The sequence below is a fragment of the Homo sapiens genome, chromosome 9, assembly GCF_000001405.40.
Source record: "Homo sapiens chromosome 9, GRCh38.p14 Primary Assembly".
Lineage (NCBI taxonomy): Eukaryota > Metazoa > Chordata > Mammalia > Primates > Hominidae > Homo > Homo sapiens.
This window is the reverse complement of record NC_000009.12, coordinates 6,891,470-6,914,954: the sequence shown is the minus strand read 5'-3', so window position 1 is coordinate 6,914,954 and position 23,485 is coordinate 6,891,470. Positions and strand designations below refer to the sequence as shown.

At 37.5% G+C, this 23,485-nt stretch overlaps 1 protein-coding gene across 21 annotated transcripts in view; it reads right to left on the bottom strand.

The window, feature by feature from the left end:
• KDM4C (lysine demethylase 4C) overlaps window positions 1–23,485 on the bottom strand; it is a 454,786-nt gene that overhangs the window by 260,694 nt on the left and 170,607 nt on the right. For all 21 annotated transcript variants that reach the window (NR_148680.3, NR_148679.3, NR_148677.3 and 18 more), the window contains one exon: window positions 21,723–21,860. Coding sequence is in view for 12 of the 21 variants with exons in the window: in NM_001146696.2 (NP_001140168.1) it covers window positions 21,723–21,860 (138 nt within the window). In the remaining 9 variants the exon portion in view is untranslated. The remainder of the gene's footprint in view (window positions 1–21,722; window positions 21,861–23,485) is intronic.

Here is a 23,485-nt window from a genome sequence, read left to right as displayed (position 1 = left end):
TTAGTACATTTGGGCAGCTTTAACAAAGCAAATTACAGATAATTCACAAATAATAGAAATTTACTGTTCACAGTTTTAGAGGCTGGCAAGTAAGTCCAAGACCAAGGTGCCAGCAGATTTGGTGTCTGGCGAGGGCCCATGCTCTGCTTCAAAGATGGTGCCTTGTTTCTGTATCCTCACATGGCAGAAGAGATAGAAGGAATGGGGAAGGCGAATTTGCTTCCTCAAGCCCTTTTGTTAGAACACAAATCCCATTCATGGGCGTGGAGCCCTCAATGCCTAATCATTTACTACAGGCCCCACTGCTTAATACTAGTGTATTGGGGTTTAAGTTTCATCACTAATTGTGGAGGGACACCAATACTCAAACCATAGCAGACATAATAATAAATACAAACAATGCTAATGTTTTTTAATGTCAAAAGGCACTCATGAATTGGTCCAATACCTCTGCACCCCTCATTATAAGCACTGATCTTACCAAAAGCATGTGGCATATCATAACGGTATTACAAGTAGCCAGGAAATGATGTACTCATCTGTTACTGTCTTAGACAATGCTTTATTAAAATGGGAAAATATGGGCCAGGCACAGTGGCTCATGCCTGTAAGCCCAGCCTGTAATCCCAGCACTTTGGGAGTCAGAGGCAGGCAGATCACCTGAGGTCGGGAGTTCAAGACCAGCCTGACCAACACGGAGAAACCCTGTCTCTACAAAAAATACAATATTAACTGAACATGGTGGCGCATGGCTGTAATCCCAGCTACTCGGGAGGCTGAGGCAGGAGAATCGCTTGAACCTGGGAAGCAGAGGTTGCGGTGAGCCGAGATTACGCCATTGCACTCCAGCCTGGACAATAAGCGCAAAACTCCGTCTCAAAAAAAAGGGAAAATACAAAATGTACTATGTTGTAAACAAATAACAGTCTCAGGCTTTCAACTGCAAACAAGGATGATGGAACAGAATTGAAAAAGAAACGCAGAAAGTGCAGTTGCTCCTAAAGGAGTGCTTAAACCCTGACTGTTAGCTCATTCCCTGCTCTCAACTCTCATACTATCCCTTCCATCTACATTAACAGTAATATGTGTCCATTAAAACCGCATAAACTATCAGAAACTCTGACATTAGTGTGGCCTCAAAGGATGTCAAATACACCTTATTACTTTTTATAGTAACTGTTTGAATTGTCATCTGGGAATTTTGTGATTCTGCTTATATGGATTATCATAATAGAGTAGAAACTGTCCAATTTTTCCCATGTGCTAGCTTTCCTGATAAGAAGGAAGGAAAGGCAGCCAGGTTGGCTGTCACTGAAATGACTCCCCTTGGGCTCTGCCACACCCACCAACAGGGCAGGAGGACAAGTGAAGTCCACTGACCCACCCTTCAGAGAAGAGGTATAGGTAACAGCCCTTTGCCTGCCTCTCACAAATCCCAATGGAGAAGCGCACTGTACATGAAACGTATTCTTCACCAGCTGGCGCAAGGTATGAGCTAAAGAAGGAAACACATGATAAAAGCCCATTTTGCAAACTAGAGCCTAAGACAGTGCATTAGATTCTTTAAATGTTGCACTACATCACAACAAATGGGTTTGTTTCACCATATCCTTCAAGATTACCTAATTACTTGTTTTAAATCAACTTGCTTGCATTTAAATTTTAATACTAGGAAACATTTTAATGAAAGGGTTTTTTATTTTTCATTTCATATCCCTGGGTAGCTAATTTTTTGAAAAATATAATCAAGTTATATTATCTAGAAAGAAAATGGACAATTCCTTATCCCAGAATAAGTACTAGTGCTTTATTTGTTTAGCTGCAAACACAGAACTAAAACCATCGTTACTTAACCAAGGTTATGTCTCAAGTATGTCATAGTTTTCACTTCCACTGATTCCAGGGAGGACTGATACGACCAGTATTTTCTTTGCTTTTTATTTTTTATTTTTTGTTAAATTCCTCAACATACTGAAAATGCCCACTGATTTGGAACAATATAGAAAAGGTACCATACGAAAAACTCCAAGAATATCACAATTCTTGAAATATCAACAATAGAAATAGTGAAAAAAAATATTCTTTTCCTTATTTCTTTATCAAAAGTAGTTAAAAAAAGGATTAAAAAACACACATGGTAACACATAGGGAATACCAACACATCTCCGGGAGCAACCATCAGTTCAGCAGACACTAATACCTGCTATCCTCATTAGAATCCAGTTACTGGGGAAAGAAACAACCTTACAAACATTTCTAAGCAGAAATGCCTTTGGACTATAGCAAAACCAAAATTAGTTAAAGCTGCAAATATATAAATTCTCTCTCTCCCAGTATATTTATTACCCTTCAGATAGAACAATGAACAATTTGTACATGGGTTTTCTTTACTTTCAATCTACTCCATTCACATACATTAATGATCATTTCTGTTTTTATCCACTGTGTTTGGCAGAGGCATTTGTATTCATTCATTCTACAATGAATGCCAGGACTATGAGCTTCCTGGAACCCTGCCTCAGAGAACAGCGCCTATGTGAAGCATGTCAAGGAATGCCAGCATGGTGTGTACATCTTCTCCAGCAGTCTTCAGAATAACCCTAGGAGACAGTACTTTATCACACAGGGGAGAGGTTAAGGGTCCTGACTGCAAGAAGTGACAGCAAAGCTGAGCTGCATGGTATCAAGTATTCGTTAGTCTGGGGAGGAGCAGCTCAACTTGCTGCTAAAGGAGAATGCAGAGAAGCATAGAATGGCAGGAAAGGAGGAAGGGGCAGGTGGGCAGGAAATAAGGCTGGCCAGAAACAGCAAGGCACCATGAAGGCCCCTCCCTGGCTCTGCCTGCACCTTGAGAAAACCTCTTTCCTAAGGTCACCTGCCATCTTCCCGTTCTGTGCCAACCTCCTGGGAGAAACCTTCACAGATGGTCTGGCTACCATCTAGTTTTGGCACTGGGTTTCCACCTTCCTCACAAACCTCACAAACTGCCCCAAGTCCTGGGCAAAAGTAGGGGAGCAACCCTGCAGAAGGGCCTCATGACCTAAGAAGCCAGAACCAGGATCCAAAGGACATGGGGTGTTTACCCCCTCAGGCAACAGTGCCCAGTCCCTGCCACCTCCCCGAGCCCCAGCACCAGCCTCCTCCCATGTTCTTATGCAGAGCCAGAAACATTCAGCTGGGTCACACACGTTCACAAACATGTCCTTTGCAATACGTCAACAAAAGCTTCATGACCACAATAATTTAATTAAGTTTTTAGATATAATAACTTATTTTAGAGATCAAGGAGATTAGTCAAATTTCTCCCTTTTGAACTAAATATGAACATTTTATACAAGTGCTAACATTGTTAAACAGGTCTGACTTATCTAGCAGAGGTAGGAAGTGAAATGTATCATGAAGGACAGGCATGAATTTCAACTATTTAACACTATTCATTCTAAAATTCACTAATGTACTAGCTTATTTTCTTAATCGGGATATGTAATTCATCAAAATCATTAACTAGCTTGACAGCCCACAGTCATCATTACAAATATCAGATGCAATTACGCACACTGAAGAATTATTGATATTTATACTCCTGTTTGAAGCTAGAAACAGGTAATTTATCCAAAGCCTCAAATCTAGCAAATTATGGAAACTCTAATCTTTCAGATTCCTCATCGCTGATCATTTTCTACCTTCTTGTCTTTTTACTTCCATATTAAAAGTTGGAGGTTTTTTTCCCTCATCCTCTAAGTGATGGCATAAAAGTTTTTTATTAATAGAGCTATACATAATTTTAAGTAAATTAAGTAATTTAAGCCAGCCCTTTTAAAAAAATAATCTGTTATTTTTTTCACTGCACATGTGATAACTGGTTGCTATAGAAATATTTTAAAATAAAGATAAGCAAATTAAAACCCTGCAAAGATGACGCTAAAATTTAATAAACATCTTTCTATAATTTGTAATACAAGTAAGCATTCAAACTAAGAAAAGATCCTATTCTATAACCTTTCTTTAATCCATGACCGTGTATTACAAACATCTATCTACACATATCAATAAACGTACCTCCACATCATTTTTAATGCTAATTAGCATATCATGACTGGATGTACCATCATCTATTCAACTATCCCGCAGCGTTCAACATTTACTTGCTATCAATTTTTTCAGTTTCACAATCAACACTGTGAAGACTATCCAAATAAATACATTCTTGGGCAACTACTGATTATTTCCATAGGACAAATTCCCAGGTGTGGATGCAGGGTCACAGGGCACACATTTCTAAGGCTGGTGCCTTGGCATGCTCTGGGGTGTACTAATTTGCATAGTTTAAAACTGCACTGAGTATTTCCATTTGTCTTCTGCACCAATCTGAGAGGTGAGAAATGGCACTAACCTCTTTGCATTTCTATGACTACTAATGAGATTATATTTACGTTTTGTAGTTATTTGCTGACTATATTTCTGCTTTAGTGAACTGCCTGTCTTTTGCCCAGTTTTTCTAATTTTGGTGTGGAGGGACCCACAATTGTGCCTCTCAGTGCTTTAATTTTCTCTAATAAGATGGGGGTAATAACATTATCTATTCTATAGGACAGTTGTAAAAATTAAACAAGTTAATGTAAGTTCAGCCTTATGCCTGACACAAAGTAAGGACTCAATGAAGTTTAGCCATTTAAAGATTAATGAATTACAAATGGGAATTTCTTTATATATTAATGTAGTGCTGCTTCTCAAACTTGCCCAAAAACGACCCCTAATGGCAAAAAAGAGTAACTCATAACCTCATGGCATCTGAAGGTAAAAACCATGCAGCATACCAGATGTATCAAATTTCCTTAAAACATGGTTTTATTTTAAAATATTCAAGTACATTTTATATTCAGCTTCAAAATATTTCAATTTTACCATATTTTCCTTCTCACGAACTTGCTATTAAGTGACATCCAGGGATTACTTGGACATGCACCTTATTAAGGATATTAACCCACTACCTATCATATACTTTTCTATTCAGCTTGCAATTTTCAAAGATATACGTGAAATCTTCTTTCATGGTGTCCACCAATGATGTGCCGCTTCAAAAGTCTTGCTCCACTCAAGGATCAAATAAATACTCCCCTATATTTTCTTCTAATATATTTAACATTAAATATTTTTTTAAGAATTTTTTAGCGGGACAGAAATCCAAATTTGTTTTTCCTCACCCTCTTTTGCTGTCAAATATACTCTAAAATACTAAAGACTTCAAAATAAGTGTATATATTTACTTGTTTCATTAAATGTTTTTACAAAGTCTGCCATGTTAAAAATACGAGTGAAAGCTTATTTTTATTTTTTTTTTACATAAATACAAACTGGAGAGTATTCTATAATTTTGGACACAGCATTTAATACAAGAAATCTTTGAAACATCAGACAGTGGCAAAGACCCACCTACCCTTCTGGTGATTTTTCATGGGCCCTGCTGAATAGCTTGAGTTCACAAAATCAAATTCCTATCCCAATATGCACAATGCCACTGGATGTGCTAGATCAGATGGTCATCACACACCCAGATTAATGATCTACAGCACTACAGAAAGGTGTTACACTTGAGAGCCTTTTGGGTCCAGTAAGAGGGGCAAGTGCAGCACTTTGCAGCTCTCTGTCCCACCTCCATTGCCTAACTACATCTGTTCTCTTGGCCACATCGTGAACTCCAGGACATGCTTCCACTAGCACAGAGCTACAGCTGGACAAGAAGCAGACCCCTCTCTCTGCCTATCCATATGTAGCTGATTATAGAATTACATTCTTTACTTTCTAATACTCTCATGTAGGTTTTAGCATTTTCAGTATGTTTCACATATTTGTTTTATTTTCAAAAGAAAGAAATCAATTTTTTAAAAAGTTCCTGGGGCAGATCTGGTAAACAAAAATGGGAGAATGCACTCATGGTAACTGTCACAGGACAATAAGAGACAAAGGGAGTCCAAATTGCTTTTAAGAGGTTAATAAATATCAATACCTCGTAGAAAGAAAAATGTTTATTACATGCCATGTGTCAGTCACTACTCCAGGAGTTTACTCTCATTATTTGATTTAATCATTACAACTAACCTATCATTATTGTTCCAATTTGGTATTATTATCCCAATTTATAGATGAATTGCCCAAGATGATATTACCTGTAAATGACAATGCTAGGATTCAAACCCAGGCAGACTAAATGTCCTCTCTTTACCACTAAAATCTACTTAATGTCCCCAATTAAGCTAGGTACCTCCCCACCCCCCACCTCAGAAACTTAGCAAAAAGAGGCCTCTTTGCTAAGTCAGTGCTACAAAGACTACATCCTCCCCCCAAGAAGATCTTGTCACACCTGGTCCCACAGGGATGTGTTCTGCCCTGATTCTCCGTGGCTAAATGGAGCATGTTGGGCCAGGTGGGGTCCTTCCGTGGACGCCCGTTCCCACCTGTGCCCCACTCAAGCCTCATTCTCTCAGTGAAAGAATGAGTGGTGGGGGACCTGCACACACTGCTACTTGTCAGCTTGTAAGGCCCTCCCAATACATTCTATTTCATTTTTGTACTGTGTGTGCCTGTCTGTACCCACTTCGCACAGCAGCTACACTAAGTAACATGTAGAGATTAAACACATTAACAGTTTGCAATAGATTTGGAAGAAAATTATAACCTCATTTCACAAAAGACAGCACTTCAACTTGATGGTATTTTAGGTTAAATGCACAAACTTCCTACACATAAAATGGGCACTTCATTTAAGAAACAACTAATGTAAAGGGAATATAAACAATAGTATAAATAGCCCTTACTACATTAAGTTACATCCATTTTTATCATCTTCTCTTCAATATAAAACATACCGATTACAAATGTGTAACCAATAAATATCTTCTAAGACTCTAGGTCAAGGTTATAAGGAAAATCCATTCCTTACAAAGGACTTTGCAGGAAAAAAAATGTATGAAGCGACACTGTCCTCTGCTGGTGAATTTTCCACACTGTCTATGAATCTTTGAGTAGAAAATTTAATATGTTAATATTTAAGTACCATAGTCCATGATACAATTTACAGTCTAATAGTGACTTTTAATTGTATGAAAATGTTAAACAAATACATAGCCAAAGCCAATACAAAATTTCAGGCTGTTTTTACAACAAGGAATAAAGAACGCCATTTTATCTGAATATAGTTTCAACACAGAATTCCACTTTACTTCTTTCAACAGCATTTTGAGTTAGTAATTGTATTAGTGCTGTTTACTTCCATTTTAGAATCAACGTGAAATGTCCCTTAATTAGATATCAATTATTAATTATAGAGTAATGCTTTAAATGCTGAAAAAGTCCTATGAGTAAAGACACATATTTATACTACCCTCTTCCCCTAAAGTTTTGGCTACAAGTTAAATATTCTGGAGGAAACAAATTTTAAAACATCTCTGCTATGTGTCTATAAGATGCATTTAGACATTGGTCCAGAGCTCTACATGTACAGATACTACTGAAAACTTTAACAATAATTTTACTGAATTTTAAATAATACATGAAAATAGACTTGCAAAAAAAATAAATAAATGAATGTCAACCTCACAGAAGTAGACCGCATAAAAGATGAGGGTTTGCCTGTCTGTATCTCAAGTTCATTCCTCTGGCCATAGCATTAACCATGTTTATCTTTCATTTATTTTTCATTCAATTTACATATTTTTAAGATTGCTTTTTAAAAATACAGCTTCATGCTAAAGAAGTATTCCTTAACTACTCTTTGTCACATAACAATATATTTTGAAGATCATTATCACATCAATACATACACCCTGCTGTTTTTAACAGCTGTATAGCAGAGATTTTTCTAAAAATCTATTGAGTCAATCCTTTAATGCTTGTAAGCATATTTTCACAATAGTAAAATTGGGCAGAGGTGTTATAAATGACCTTGTTTAAAACTGGTTACGAGAATAGTTTCTAGAATCCTTGATCCATATCATAAATCTTAGATTGTTCCCATGAAATAAAATACCTATCTACGTCACCCATATAAATAAACAATACTATGCAATGCTGTTTTCATTTTTGCCATACTAATATTTAAAGGCAATTTCATTTTAAAATTCACTTGAGTCTACAACTGTGCACAAATAACTACAAAAATCATGTAATGCCAAACACTTTTAGTAACCCAAAGAGAAATTTTTAAAAACCAAACCTGCCTGGCACAGTGGCTGACACCTATAATTCCAGCACTTGGGGAGGCTGAAACGAGAGGATCACTTGAGCCCAGGAGTTCGAGACCAGCCCGGGCAAAAAAGCAAGACTTCATCTCTACAAAAAATGTAAAAATTAGCCAGTCATGGCGGCATGTGCCTGTAGTTGTCCTAGCAACTCAGGAGGCTGAGGTGGGAGCACCTGTAGTCCCAGCTACTAGGGAGGCTGAGGTGGGAGGCTCTGGTCAGTGTACCAGCCCTTTGCCTCAGAGACAAAACCATTGAGGCAGAAGACTTGGAGTCACTAATCTCCCAATTCGCCCATAGACTCTATTGAGACAACAACAGGTACTTAGGAACGGTATACCACGATGCTGAGAATTCCTTCCATAGTGTTGCCTGGAGAGGTTTACCCTGTGGAGTTTCCACAAACGAGAAGTACCATTTACTTCAATGCTTAATAATAATTACTTCTAAGAAAACAAATCTGACACCATCTGCAATCATGTCCATCAGTTCCAGAAAGCAAACGGAGAAAAAAAACAAGGGAAAAGTGCTCTCTCATCATGAAATCAACACACACAGCATCATGTTAATCTACAACTAAACTTGACATGTGCCCTTTGAAATTCTATGTCTGTATACTTTCCAACCTCAAAATGTTTCTTTGAAAACAGAGTGTGTTGCATCTTCCCAATTTTCTCGGTAAGTAGCTATGCGTCACTTACTCAGTCATTTGAATCTGGGCTCCAGATTCTCCACAACTCAAAGCCTGGATACTTTCAGAAATATGGATCTGAACTCCAAATCATTTTCTTCGTTTACACAGAGGCCACTCTAACTGGCAGGATCCTCAATGTGAACATAAAATAAAGGGTAATAGGAATTGAAGGAGAATCTGTGCTCAGCACATTTTTCAGTCTGAGGGGCTGAATGAAGTCACAGGCTGATTTAGCTTTGCCCCAGACACCTTCCATCTCAATAACACCAGCAAACATGTCTGTATAGTAACTGGATCAAAAAGCAACATAAATTGATCACAAGGACCCTACACTATAGAAATGCCATTTAAGATACCCTGCTATAGTTAAACCCACCTACAAATCTGAGAACGGCAGTTATCTGTTACGAAGTCTTGGTCATGCTTTCTCAAAAGAATCATTTTAGGGCTTAGGATTCAGCATTAATTCTGAAGGTCATAAGTGTATACAGCACCCAAATTCAGAAGAACCTCTCTGATATTCTAAACAAATGTCAAAGACTAAAGGAGGAAACCATGTTTTCTGAAAATTATGACCATATACCTAAGTATGTTCCCCCAAACTAATGGCTGTAGTTGTAAGGCAATCTAGACATTTCAGGACAATCAACACTTGGTAGAGTCAGTTTGAGGGGAAATTATACAACCGAGAAGAGTTTCATACAAGGGCTAATCAGGGTTTAGAAGTGTTTCTTCATAGTCTTTTCCCTCATCTATCCCTCAATCTCCTGCCAAGACGGCCTCCAATGTGTATCCCTGTTGGCATACTGATGTTACATTTGTTCCTCGTTAACTATATATACTATGGCATCCTCAAAAATAGAAAAGCTTGCATTTAATTTTTTAATATAGATGATATATACTCTTTGGCTGTTTGCTCTTTTAAGAAGCACATCAAATTAAAGGATATTTTAAGCACCATCTGCTCTCTGCAACAATGGACAATAATGTTTTAAATCTATAGTATCCTTTATGGTTATTGCAGTTAGCATTTTGTTGTGCTGAGGATTTTTTTGTTTGTTTGTTTTTTGTTTAATGTAGCCCTCCTTGCCTAGGCTCGTACTTAGAAACCAAGCTAGGTTTTTTTTTCTTTTGTGTTATTCCCAGTTTAATTTCCCATTGCCACAAAACTGTTGACTAACGCCGTTTAGTTACTTTTTCCTCTCGTATCTTCCAAATTCACTGGAATACTCCTTTATGATGCCAGAGAAAGGCATTACTAAAGGAATTTATTAAAGTTTTTCTTAAAAATACATTCCTTCAAATATACAGACCCAGTTATAAATGCTGTCATTCAGTAAAACAGAAACTGCAAAGGCATTATAAATCTCTTCCAGTATTAACTGTAGTGGAATAAGCCGAGGTGACAGGTGTGGACACAGCCCATCAACAAAGACAAGACTGGACCCGTGCACCAAGCACAAGCCCACCTACCATCTGCTCTGCACCCAGGGAATGCAAACAGAGCCATGAGCTAAGGTGTTCATTTTCAACATTCTGATTTGTTAACAAGATCTGTGCAATGAACTCTTATGTACTACTGTGGTTCTGTGATGCCCCTCAAAAAAAAAAAAAAAATCCACTGCAAACCACCTGTCACATTCTTTTGGGATACGCTACAACAATTTTCTTGTAGTAAGTATCTATAACCCAGAAATGTTTTACTTGCTGTAAATGAAAGACATATATAGATATAGGTATAAATATATAGATAGACATAGATACAGATTTTTTTTTCTTTTTTTTGAGATGGAGTCTCACTCTGTTGCCCAGGCTGGAGTGCAGTGGCACAATGTCAGCTCACCACAACCTCTGCCTCCCAAATTCAAGCAATTCTCCTGCCTCAGCCTCCCAAGTAGCTGGGATTACATGTACCCACCACCATGCCAGCTAATTTTTGTATTTTTCGCAGACATGAGGTTTCTCCATGTCAGCCAGGCTGGTCCTGAACTCCTGATCTCAAGTGATCTGCCCACCTCAGCCTCTCAAAGTGCTGGGATTACAGACGTGAGCCACCGCGCCCGGCTAATGAAAGATATATTGAACAGAATGATATATTAAAGACATGGCAAAATAATCTATAGGATCTTGAATAACATTGTGTAGATTTTCGAAAAGATACAGATATATGCTGATATTTTAAGAGATATACAATGAACTGTTAACAGTTTTTTACCTTTAATAAACTAGAAAGGGTGCCATTAAATATTTTTATTTTTACAAATTTCAACAATGGATATTTGGGTAGTAATATTATTAGCCATAGTGATTTCCTTTCCAATGCTTTTCTGTAAAATTTTTAAAAATTACAGTGTATGGACACAATTGGTTATTCAATGATTCCTATATCATTGGACATTTTAGTTACAATTCTATTTTCACTGATAAAACTGGCACTACAACAATCACCTTTTGCCTACATTTCTGCTCATTTCCTAAGAGTGTGAGAAAATGGTAAAAGCGCAAGAAGATGTTTACCAAGACTGATGCACACTGCCCACCTTCTCTTCAGGATGCTTACTCCAATCATATTCCTGCCAAGAGAACACAGTGCCCACTCTACCAACTACATTCTCCTGGGGACTGGGCATTTTCTTATTATCTTTACTAATATGATTTAAAAAAAGAAAAGAAATCATTATATAAGTTTGAAAACTGTTTCAATTTTATTTACCTTCAAAGAAACAAGTTTTCATGCTATTTCAATAATCAACAAAACAGTCATCTTTTTAAAAAATTAACACTCAAAATCAAAGGACAACCCTGAATATGCATTCCTAAGAACTGGGAATATGCTGCCAAAAATCAATGAAAATGATTATCAGGCCTTACAAAAATACCTTTTACGAAAATTTTAAACAGTTAATAGAAACTAATTGGGTTTTTTTAATCGAATCAAAAAACCTGAAGTATATGAAACTGATGTGGGAAATACAGTCAAAGCTTAGCAGTAATCTCTACCATCCAGGATGGTGTTTTTTCCAAGGGATTACAAAACACGGCCTTTCAAATTCAACAAGGGGCACAAGAGCTACACTGTGTTTCTGAAGATATAAGCAACAGCTCCTTCAAATTCCTTCTCTCAGCAATCTGGTCCACAAAAACCCACTGTTAGTTATTGGCACTTCTTTTCATACTGCCTTCATTTTAGCAAAAAAGTACACCTGAATGCGAGTGAGAAGTCAGTAAAACTATCTAATATCCATCTGCCCAGCCTGCTGTTGACACTTACCCTGCAAACACTGTCCCCACAGACACTGTTTCTCAGCACCTCAGGCCTGAACTCCACCAGTCTTCCCCCAAATTAATATTCAGGGAGTTCCCTGACATAAAAATGACCCACAATGAGTCACTTCCTAAATATGTACTTGGGGAGAGGGACATGGTGCCAGGCGAGTTCTCCCATCACCACCCGCATCCTCACAACCTGTGAGGCACAAGTGAACGCCCTCTTTACAGGTAGGAAAACTAAGCCTCACAGAAACATGTCATTTGCCCCAGGTCACACAACTATTCCACACAGAACGACAATTCCAACACAGTCCCAGGTGATTATGTTGGGTTTTTTACGTGCACTCCTGACAGCCATCAGGACATTTACTAAGCTCTTCAGAAAGAGGTATATACAGTGCATTCCTATCTTTAACATCTACTCTATTTCTTTTCCAACACTCTCCCTTCCTCCCCTTAAAAGTACTACTGGGCATGTTTACTTGATCATGAAATATGTGGGCACAATTCTATATGTGTTCACAACACCTATTAATTCTTGGAGAAAAGAGACTGTAAATGATATATGTACAAAACATTACACATCTCCAATTTATAAATAGATATTAAGTTAATGTTTTGGAACTCAAAATTCATACTGGTGGAAAAAAATAGAAGATGCAGAAGAACCCCAACCCAAACAACAAAGGCCTAATTTAACTCCCTAAAAACCCATGGCTCTCAACCCACAGCATCCACCAGAGTCACAGGAAGATTTCAGAAATGCAAATGTTTGTCCCTTATCCTCAGATATTCTAATCCTACTGATTTTGGTGGGGCCAGGGGTCCATACTTATAATGTTCCACAGAGCTGAGAACATAGACTGAAGTCTGTAAGCGCCACTATACAGAAACTACATGTCTTACTTAGTTTTTTAGCCACAGCACAGGGCCCACCAAATAATAGGTGCTAAAAGTAAATATGTGTCACGAAATGAGGTATCAGAAGCACATATTGTGGCAGATTCTGTCAATGAATCTTTTTCCTTCTTTCTTCCATCTTTTTCTTTCTTCTCCACAGGCAGAGCCCCTTTCCCTAAAAACACCAGTTACTCGCCAGTTACCTTTCCAGCCTTTCTAACAGTTGGCCACAGGACATAAAAGGATGTTTTCAAGTGTGTTTCAAGGAAAGATTTTCCTCGCAAATGGGGGTAGATGAGCCTAGTTCTCACACTGTCTCGCTTCCTGCCCTTGGCAGCAAGATGTCTGAAGTAAGCACAGCTATCAAGACAAGCCTGCCCAGAGACAGTGAATCTGAAGGACAGGAACTGCATGAGACCTCATGAGGTTGCTGAGCTGCTACACCAACCCTAGGAGCACATATCTGACAATCCCTTATGTGAGGTAAGAGCCCTTTTGAGATAAACCACTGTGTGTCACCTCAGCAGAACCTGCAGGGGTGGAAGTGCAGGAAAGCCTGCATGGATGAGAAGCTGTGGGAAGCCAGGGCATCTGACTATGGCAAACTCTGGGGGGTGCCCAGGGCCCTGCTGACTCTCCCACCAGTCCCTCCTTCCCTCCAGGGGTTGGCCAGCCTGCTTCTCTCAAACGTCACCTCATGTTCTGCCCACTGCTTTCTCTTCTGGGTAATCATGAGCCAGAAAACACACTACCAACTTTTGCCTTCTTCTGCAGTCACCATGTCTAGAATAGAGCCTTTAGTAAAAATTTTTCCTATGTGTTTACTATTATAAACACTGAAAAAATATGGAAAAGTCCAAACTAAGGCATTAAAAAAAAAAAGAATCCTAAAGCTTCAAAAGTGCTACACTAAAATTTGGCCCCTGATAATCATACAAACATACATTGAGATAGGTGGCCCTTAACTTTGACCTCATTCTCTATACACAAGTCCTTTTATCCAGACAGATGCCTCAGAACTTCCCCACACACACTTGATAAAATGAAAGAGAAGGTAGAAAACCTTTGCTCTCACCCCTACCGCCTTAATCAAAGAGCAAAGTCAAAGCCTCAGAGTTAACGACGGTTGCACTACAGACTAAAAAGGAATTCACATGTAGGTTTATCGACAGAGAAGACGAATCCAAAATAACATGTCCATTGGCTTCTCTTTGTGTTTTGAGACAGGTCTTGCATTGTTGCCCAGGCTGGAGTGCAGTGGTGTGATCACGGCTCACTGTAACCTTGAACTCCTGGGCTCAAGCAGTCCTCCCACCTCACCCTCCCAAAGTGCTGGGATGACAGGCGTATGCCACCATGCCCCTGGCTCCACTGACTTTAGGAATCCAAACTCAACCAATTGTGAGATAGAGTCCAAAGCCACTTGGTGGTGACATCAGCTACAGCTTTCATGGGACAAGACCATTCTGAATCTTCAAGAATCTTGAGAGTGATCCCACAAATCACACACGTGGCTGGCGCTTATTTAAGCCATTACACCTAGAAAAATGAGTCCAGAAGGGTACAGGACATTGGGGGCAAACCTACATCTAAGCCGGGCCTCACTGCCCTATTTTCTTCTTCATCCCAAACTCCCTCCAATTCAACGTAAGATATAGGACCACCCTGAAAATGACACATTGTAAAAAGGGGGCCAGTATAGGACAGAAAGCAATTATCTCTGAATGTGCATCATCACTGATCAAGAAAAATAAGATGTGTCTAGTGCCCAGAGCTCGATCTGACATATTGGAGACAATGTCAAATATTATTACTATTGTATTTAACTACAAGAAACTAGACTGAATTAAAAACAAACTAATTCTCAATAGAGTATAGAAGTTATTCAAAAGGCAAATTTACTTTCTTTTAAGGTACTGACAAACTATAGACTCAAAAGCAGATAATGCCTTGATTTCAGGTTAAGAACTAAACATCAGCATCATGAGGCTTATCACTTCCTTTCAAATCCCATAATGCAGCAAATGCAAGTTAACAACAAATGAAATCAGGCTCCCTAGCTCCAGACTTCAGCAATATATACTAACCAACTGGTTTGATACCATCATACCTGAAGTCTCAGACTTCTTGAAGTTTCAGATATCCTGAATCCCACAACTCAATATTTTTTCAGTATAAAAAGAGGACATAATGTGACTATGTTCTTCATATCTCTTAATACTTCTTCCAGATGTGTGAACACTCTCTCCAGAGGTAGAGGTTTCTCATGAGCTAGCAAGTTAAACACACACACACACACACACACACACACCCCCATGGAAAAGGCACAGAGGACTCATAGGGCAGTGAAACCACTCTGTATGATACTACAATGTCAGATGCCTGTCATTGTATATTTGTTCAAACCCACTGAATGTACAACACCCAGAGTGAGCCCTAATGTAAACTACGGACTTTGGTCTGGTTGCCTGGGTTTCCTTAAAAAATAAAAGTTTAAAAAAAACTATGGACATTGGGGGATAATGATGCATCATTGTAGGTTCTTTATTTGTAACAAATGCACCTCTCTGGTTAAGGATATTGATAATGTGGGGGGCTATGCACATGTGGGGAGAAGGGGAATATGGGGAATCTCTATACTTTCCTCTGAATTTTGCTGTGAACCTATAGATGCTCTTAAAAGTAAAGCAAAAAAATAAAAGAGCGCAGCAAAACTACTCATCAGCTCTGTTACACTGTACCATCAGAACCTAGGAATCAGAAACAGCAAAAAGTAGAGGTAAAAAAAAAAAAAATGCAGAACATAAAATCCCCATACTCACTAAGTTCATATTATATATGTCATGTCAGACACTTAAAATTGAAATGCCAAGAACTGTTAAAATGAACAATACTCAAAGCAGTCTACATTTTCTTTCCTTCACATGTCACAGGAACAGAGAAATATCACTATACTAGTATTTTGTGATCAAAAGCATATTAAAATATAACCTAGAGACTCACCACAAAAATGATCCCTGATTGTTTTAATAAAGACTGCCCAAGATTAAAGATTTTCTGGAAGGATGCTACCAGATTTAAGAAATATCTAACTTAATTTTAGAGAATTGAAATATAAAATAGAATGAACCCACATCATGGCACTTACATGCTAGACAATTTAATAGTTGAAACCCCTGCCAGATTAAAGGGAAATCAGTTTTAAAATTCTATCATCTCTTTTTAAACTTGTTCAAACATTTGAGGATTCAAGTATCAAAATGTCTTAAAATTAGATAGTAAGGTAGTACTCCTGGAGTTTATAAGAGAACATTCCCAGCTCTGCAGTACAGTTTTTCAACTTTCTGACATATCATGTTAATATGATCACTTAAAATTAAAATAAAAGATATCATTTTTGTGTCACCAACTATTACCTTTCCTTCCAATAAGATAATATTTATTCTGACACAGTAAGTCTCTTTCACTGCACACACTGTAATAAATACACTGCTTCAGACGGTATAAACGAGATATGACTGTCCCCAAGACAATGATTCTTTTTTACTCAAGAAAATCAGTACAGTAAATAACTTTTCTTCCCTTCGAGACAATCATAGTGCTTGAGGCTGCTGAAACACAAACACAAAATATCTTCACAAATGTCTCCAAACAGTCAAGCTGAAAATCTAAGCCAAAGTTTCATTTAACAGCCTGTCAGTTTTTTGATGTGAAGCTAATGAATGCAGTGGCAAACAAATCCATCAAACCTAACATCAAACAACTGCACTTCATCCCAGCAAACGGAAAAATGAAATACAACCTGCCGGCCGGCGCTTTGATCCAACCTGGCCAGGAAGCAGACCTGTGAGTGTCACGGCAGCAGCTGCACAGAGTAATCACGGACTTCATTCCACCACAGAAGGAAAGAATGCTCCAGAAACAGAAAACAGTCAGCTCAAATATGCACAAATGTCTTATTTCAACTGCTAAACGAGCTGTTGAAGTATTTTTAAATCTCTATCAAGAAAAAATAATTGCATTTCACTCTGTTATGCCAACATTCAAAGCTACAAAGATTCCTAAAACAAAGAACTAGATGTTACGTTCCATTAATACTACAACTTTGCAAGTGGAGTTTTATTAAAAGCCCCTCTGTTCTTTCTGAAAGCTCCTTGAAGACAATATATATGTTTTTCTTCTTTGTACACACATGTAGCACAGGAGGAACTCACTGGGCACTCACCAAATCTGACCTCTGCCCATCAGCAGCAAATGAACATGTGACTACCTGAAACATCACTCTCAATTTTTTTCAGTAATGATCTTGTCTTTGATTAGAGAAATGGGGGAAAATTACACAACTGCCTTCTTAGGTCAGTTGTTCCTGCTAAATGCAAGGCCCTTTTGTTCTGGAGCATCTTACAGGATTTGGCTATGCTATATTTTGCAAGTTAAGACAAGAGAGCAGAATGATCCTCATTGAGGGAAAACACAAGCAAAGACAGAAATGAGAGGAGAATGGTAAGGCCTGGGCCATTATCAGAGAATATTAGAAACAGGGATGGTCAAACTAAGCAGCTACCAAAACTAAAAGGTAAATGTCCCTTCACTCTCTCCTCTGCCTATTTTCCCCAGATCTTCTACACAATCCATACACACACAAAAAAAGTCTGTTTGAGAGATGAGGCAGTTTGGATGGATACTGTGAAAAAAGACCATCTGGACTGAAGGACTGAAAAAACAGAGAATTTACGCACAGGGACAGACACCTCTCCTAAATACAATAATTCAGCTGAGAATATCAAACATCCAGGAATTTGCTAAAATTTGGAAGTGTATCTGAGCTTTACACAAATAATGAAATTTCTAATCAAATGTACCCAAATCTTAAGAGCCAGGAAGATTTATTGAACAACTATCACATATCAATAGGTCAGTAACAGATTCCGATGAAAGCCACAGGAGCCCCCTCTCCAGTCCTGCTCCAGGGACACCAGAAGAAGTCAAGTAGCCAACAGCAAAGGAAGCAGACCTTGAACCCCTCCCAGTGTCAACTCTACTCTCACCCCTGTTCTCATAGAACAATGACTCACGAGTGATGAATTCATAGAAACATACATGATGCCTGGCACACAGCAGATAAGCCTAGTCTCCATAAGTAGAACTTCTCCCCCTTCTACCAGCCATCTGAGACATCTGAAAAGGTCCCTAATGACAAAGCCTGTTGACTTATGATCAAAAGGTCCCTACTGGGGAACATGAGGTTATCTTTTCAAAACCTACTTTTTTTTTTTAATTAAAAAACAAATTGCCTTCTCTAACAGCTCTTTTCTGAGTCACCTAATTAAAAATACTGGTTTGTATTACACAAAATTATATTTTTATATATATATATATATTTCATAGTGTTTGTGATTACATATATGCACATATAATGTATGCAGACCCCACACTCTGCACTATTTTGCTTATTTAATGCTGTACAACAAATAATTTATCAGATACTTATACACATTCAATAAACCCCATGTGACAGGTAAAGCAGGTGGCATCACCACCAATGCCTCATTATGAAAAAGTGCTCATATTTTCATAGTAATTATAAAAGTATTGTTCATAATCACTTATGAACAATGACTTTTTTATAGTTACCATTTAGAACAAACTGATGAAGACAAAGAATTAAGACAAATATGGGCATCCTCAATGCTAAAAGTCTTTTTAGTGCAATTCACTACACATCAGTTTCCAGGAAAACACATAAATGTATGCCCAGTGCACAAATTTGCCAGGGATTAGAAACTACATATACATGCAACACAGTAAATTCATAAGGTTACCTAAAGAATCAGACTTGGAGATCAAAAATATGTGTCAAATAACTGATTAAAGATACCAAAATCTGGGTAAAAAAAATGCTAACTCAGCTTACTATAATGTAAGGTAATTTATTATCCAAGAATAGACATGAAAATATTAGTATTGATGGTATAAATTAAGAAAGCACATGATATTTTAGTGAAACATTCGAAACTATCTCTTTATAAAGTTATTTTCCTGTTTTTATGCAAAATAACTAAAATTGGTTACATAACTCAAAATATTCTTTTTTCTTAATTTTTGTTTTTATTTTTTGTAGAGACAAGATCTCACTCTGTTGCTAAGACTAGTCTTGAATTCCTGGCCTCTAGCAATCCTCCTGCCTCAGCCTCCCAAAGTGCTAGTTATAGGCATGAGCTACTGCCCCAGCCCAAAGCAGATTCTAAATATGTCAATGATAAATTGGTACCCCCTGTAGTAGTAGGCAGATGCTTCCCCTCCTGCACCCCCAACAAAGATGTCCTCATCCTAATCCCAGAGATCTTTGAATGCGCTATCTTGCATGACACGTGGGATTTTGCGGATTGCCTGCTCTGAAATGCAGGAACTACACAGGAGGACTAGAGAGAGGCTTCTAGGAGAAAAGTCCAGCCTCTGGTTCACAGTCAGCAACAAATATGAACGTTTAGTCTTACAACTGTGAGGAAGTGAATTCAGCCAACAACCCAAAGGAGCAAGGAAATGAATTCTTCCCCAGAGTCTCAGTAAGAAATGCAATCCTGCAAACATCTTGACATTTAACTGGTGAGACCAATGCTAGGCCTATTACCTACAGAACCATGAGATAATAAATGGCTATTGTTCTAAACACAAAGTTTGTGGTAATTTGCTACAGCAGCAAGAGACAACTAATATATTCTCAGATGACATCACCTGGCCAAAGGAAGTAAGGGGTGGCCATAACACTGAAAAAATCTCAAATACATTCAGTTAGAGCAATTTTTAATTAGCTGGCCAAAACTGCATTGTAGCACTGAATATTTTGTACCCAGAACCAAACAAAACAGTCATAGCCCTTACTAAACTGAATAAACAGATAGTCACATACCTAAGTTCTTTTCTCTAACCCATAGGGTAGAGAGGTATTTCTAATTTATATATGAAGAATAAATGACTTTCCTAATGTTACATGGCTAGCCAGAGAAGAAAACTTGGTTGTCAGATCCAGCCTCCTCCACCACAGTGCAACACTTCACATTCCCACAACTGTGATGGGCTCTGTCAGCTGGGATTTCAGAGAGGAGCACTACCAGCCTCTCTTCCTTCCACTCCACACCCACTCTACTTCCACATGGAAATGTGGAAATGCAACTCCAATGTACATGGTAGTTTAGCTTCTCCCCAAGGCTGGAATGTCCTATTCTGGCCAATATCATAGGCTACTTCTGAGACCTGTATTAAACAAGAATCAATATTTGTGGTGACTCTGAACAGCTGTAATAGCTGACTTATATCTGTAAGTAAAGGTGCAAACTATAAAATAACAGACCTTGTTATAACCTCGTGGCCAAGACACTGCTTCAAGGCAGATGCAAGCATTACATTTCCACAAAAGCAATGCAGTGGTTGGCCAAAGTACACACACTGAGTTCTTAGAATACACAGGATGTACAATGTGAAGTAGTAGTACAGTTCTGTTCCTTTCTGAATTACTCAGCATAAACAGAAATTACTTAGAACAGAAAAAGTCTTCTAATACCAGGGGCTTTCCTTTATGTCAAGAATGTATTCGAATGACTCCTGGGCTGCCAAAGGGCTATATTTTATTTATCTTTTAATATATTATGCAATTTTCTAAATACACAGGTAAATTAAACTAAGAGTTGTCTCCCCTAAATATACTTCTGTCTACGTTCACCTGATGGCTCCACATGTAAGTTTTATCAGTGTAGAATGAATGATATTCAGTTGAGCCATGCAATGGCCAAAATAAGACCACATACGCTTTATTTATCATTTTCTGCTAAATCTACGTCAACTTTACATCCTCTGTAAAACACACAGTTTTATTTAGAAGCTGCCCTCTGCCAGCCTGCACCTTTCCCTTAAAAGCCACAGGAAAGGAAGCAAACCTAATAGAAACCACCATCACTTTGAAGATGTCTTCTATTTAACACCACAGGGGGAAAGTAATTAAATTTAATAGAAGTTATTGCCTGTGAAAGAAAATACCCACTATGTGAGCTAAATTAAATACACTGGGCAGGAGATGCAAAATTTTATACCAAATTTAACATGAATATGTATTTCCTGTTAAAATGTGTTCTACATGATTACTTTCAAGAATTTCATTTCTGCACTAAGGGCAGTTTTAATCATTTCCTCCTACCAACCTCCCTCCATCTCTTGCTACAATTTTATCAGACACTCCCTTCTGTAAAGTGCTGTTTTCTAAGCCACAAACTGATCGCAAACAGGGAGAGATCTGAGTCTACCTAACATGGAGCCACATGATGCCACTGGAAAATCTTGCAAAACACCAACTGGAGGCCTCAAGATAAAAAGCAAACACACGTCGCATCAAATTACCTATCAGGGTAAATTGCTCCACATTAATCTCAAAACAGACAAATTCAGCTAAAATTGGTAATATTGGCTATGTAAAATAAATGTATCGAGCCTGAAGTGAATTGCTGTGGTGAGAGGCACATGGCGCCAGTGAGGAAGAATAAATAAATGCTGCACAGGATCGTAGGGTTCCTACTAAAATAACCAGAATACACATTTAATTTTTGCTTTATTTTTGAGGCATAGCTTACCAATTTGGCAACTTTTCCATAGTCAATCCATCTGACAGTAGCAAAATTTGTAGATTCTGCACAGTTGAAACCATGATTAAAACCAGCATGGTAGCCATATGGGAAAGTGATCATGAATTCTCCAGCCTCCTGGGTTATCTGCAAGGTAGGAAACATATAATATTTTGTAAAAATAAGACTTCCTAAATTATGAATACAATTAAAATATATTTCCCATTAAAAAACAAAGAAAAAAAGTCTTGATATCAGAGCACTACCAAAAAGAGTTCCACCAGATTCATTACTTAATCCTTTAATAGTGCTTTTTCAGGAAACGTTTAAAAGACTTTCCTAAATAGGATGTGGCTTGCTGGCACTTGAATTAAATCAAACAATCCATACTCAAAGCTATTACATTTTAATTGAAGGTATCTTCAGGTTATTCAAGTAAATTTGTTCATATTAGCTATCAAGCTATATATTCTTATATTTTAATAACTTGCATTACTGGAGTTACATATAAAAATCATATAATAACTGACATTGTTAAAGCTACAGCTACAGAAACTTTGATAATACATGCTTGGCAGGCTATATCATGAATTCTTGTTGGTAAAGAGTTGGTGATATTCATCAAATTATTTTTTCCTAGCACCTAGAAAACATTCAATTAAGCACAGTCCATTTCACAGTAAAACTTCTGTTAAAAGAATTATTCAAATATATGTATGTTAGAGTGAGTGCATTTTTAAGTATAATTAAAATAACTCGCATAAATAAGCCTGAGCCTTTAAAAAAGAATTTTAAATGTATTTACCCTGTTTCTATTTTTTAGATTAAAGACTTTTTTTTTACAATCACCAAAGCAACACAAAATATCCCATGGTCTACAGAAAAAGTGAAGAAAAATGTAGTGTTGTTTCTTTTTTAAAAAAGTATCTATCCGATACAAAAATTATAAAACTTATTGCTCACTCCTTCAAATGGAATAATATAATATATTTGTTTTGGATTATCTGATCTTAAAATGTTTCTAACCCAGCAGCACCCAATAGGATAGACCCCTTATATCTTTAAATTCTTTCAGTTGCTGCAAAGTAATATAAAAATACTCATAGGATTTGGCCACTGAAGCAATGTTTCTCCTTGACACATATTGCCAAAGTATTTAGCAAATGCTGTATGTTCACATTCAGAGCCTGTATTCTCTGCTAGCTCTGATAATAAAAGTTGTAAAACCACATTTTTAATTATCCTACTGACCCTAATACAACTTATATTTTCTTTGAGATATAATGTACATATAATAAAATGCTCAGATAATAAATGTACAGTTTGATCTGTTTTGACAAATGCATATACCTGTATATCCCATGCCCCTATTTTCTTTTTTTATGATAAAAATCTAAGGAAGAAATATATTTATTAAATATATCAACCTCAGAAAATTACTTATCTCTGGGAGGGAGAAGAGACTGAAACAGTAATAGCTACATTTGTAGTATTTTGTTTCTTTGGACAAATATCTGTATATACATATAGTGTTTTTTAAAGTATTTTATTTTCAGTAACAACTTTATTGAAATGTAATTCACATACCATAAAATTCACTCATTTAAAGTGTACAATTTGTTGGTTTTTAGTATATCACAAAGTTATGCAACTATCACAATTAATTTTAGAACATTTTATCACCTCAAAAAGAAACCCCCTCACCCTTTAGCTGTCATCCCCAAGCCCCTCATTCATCCCAGCCCTAAGAAAACCCCTGATTTATCTTCTGT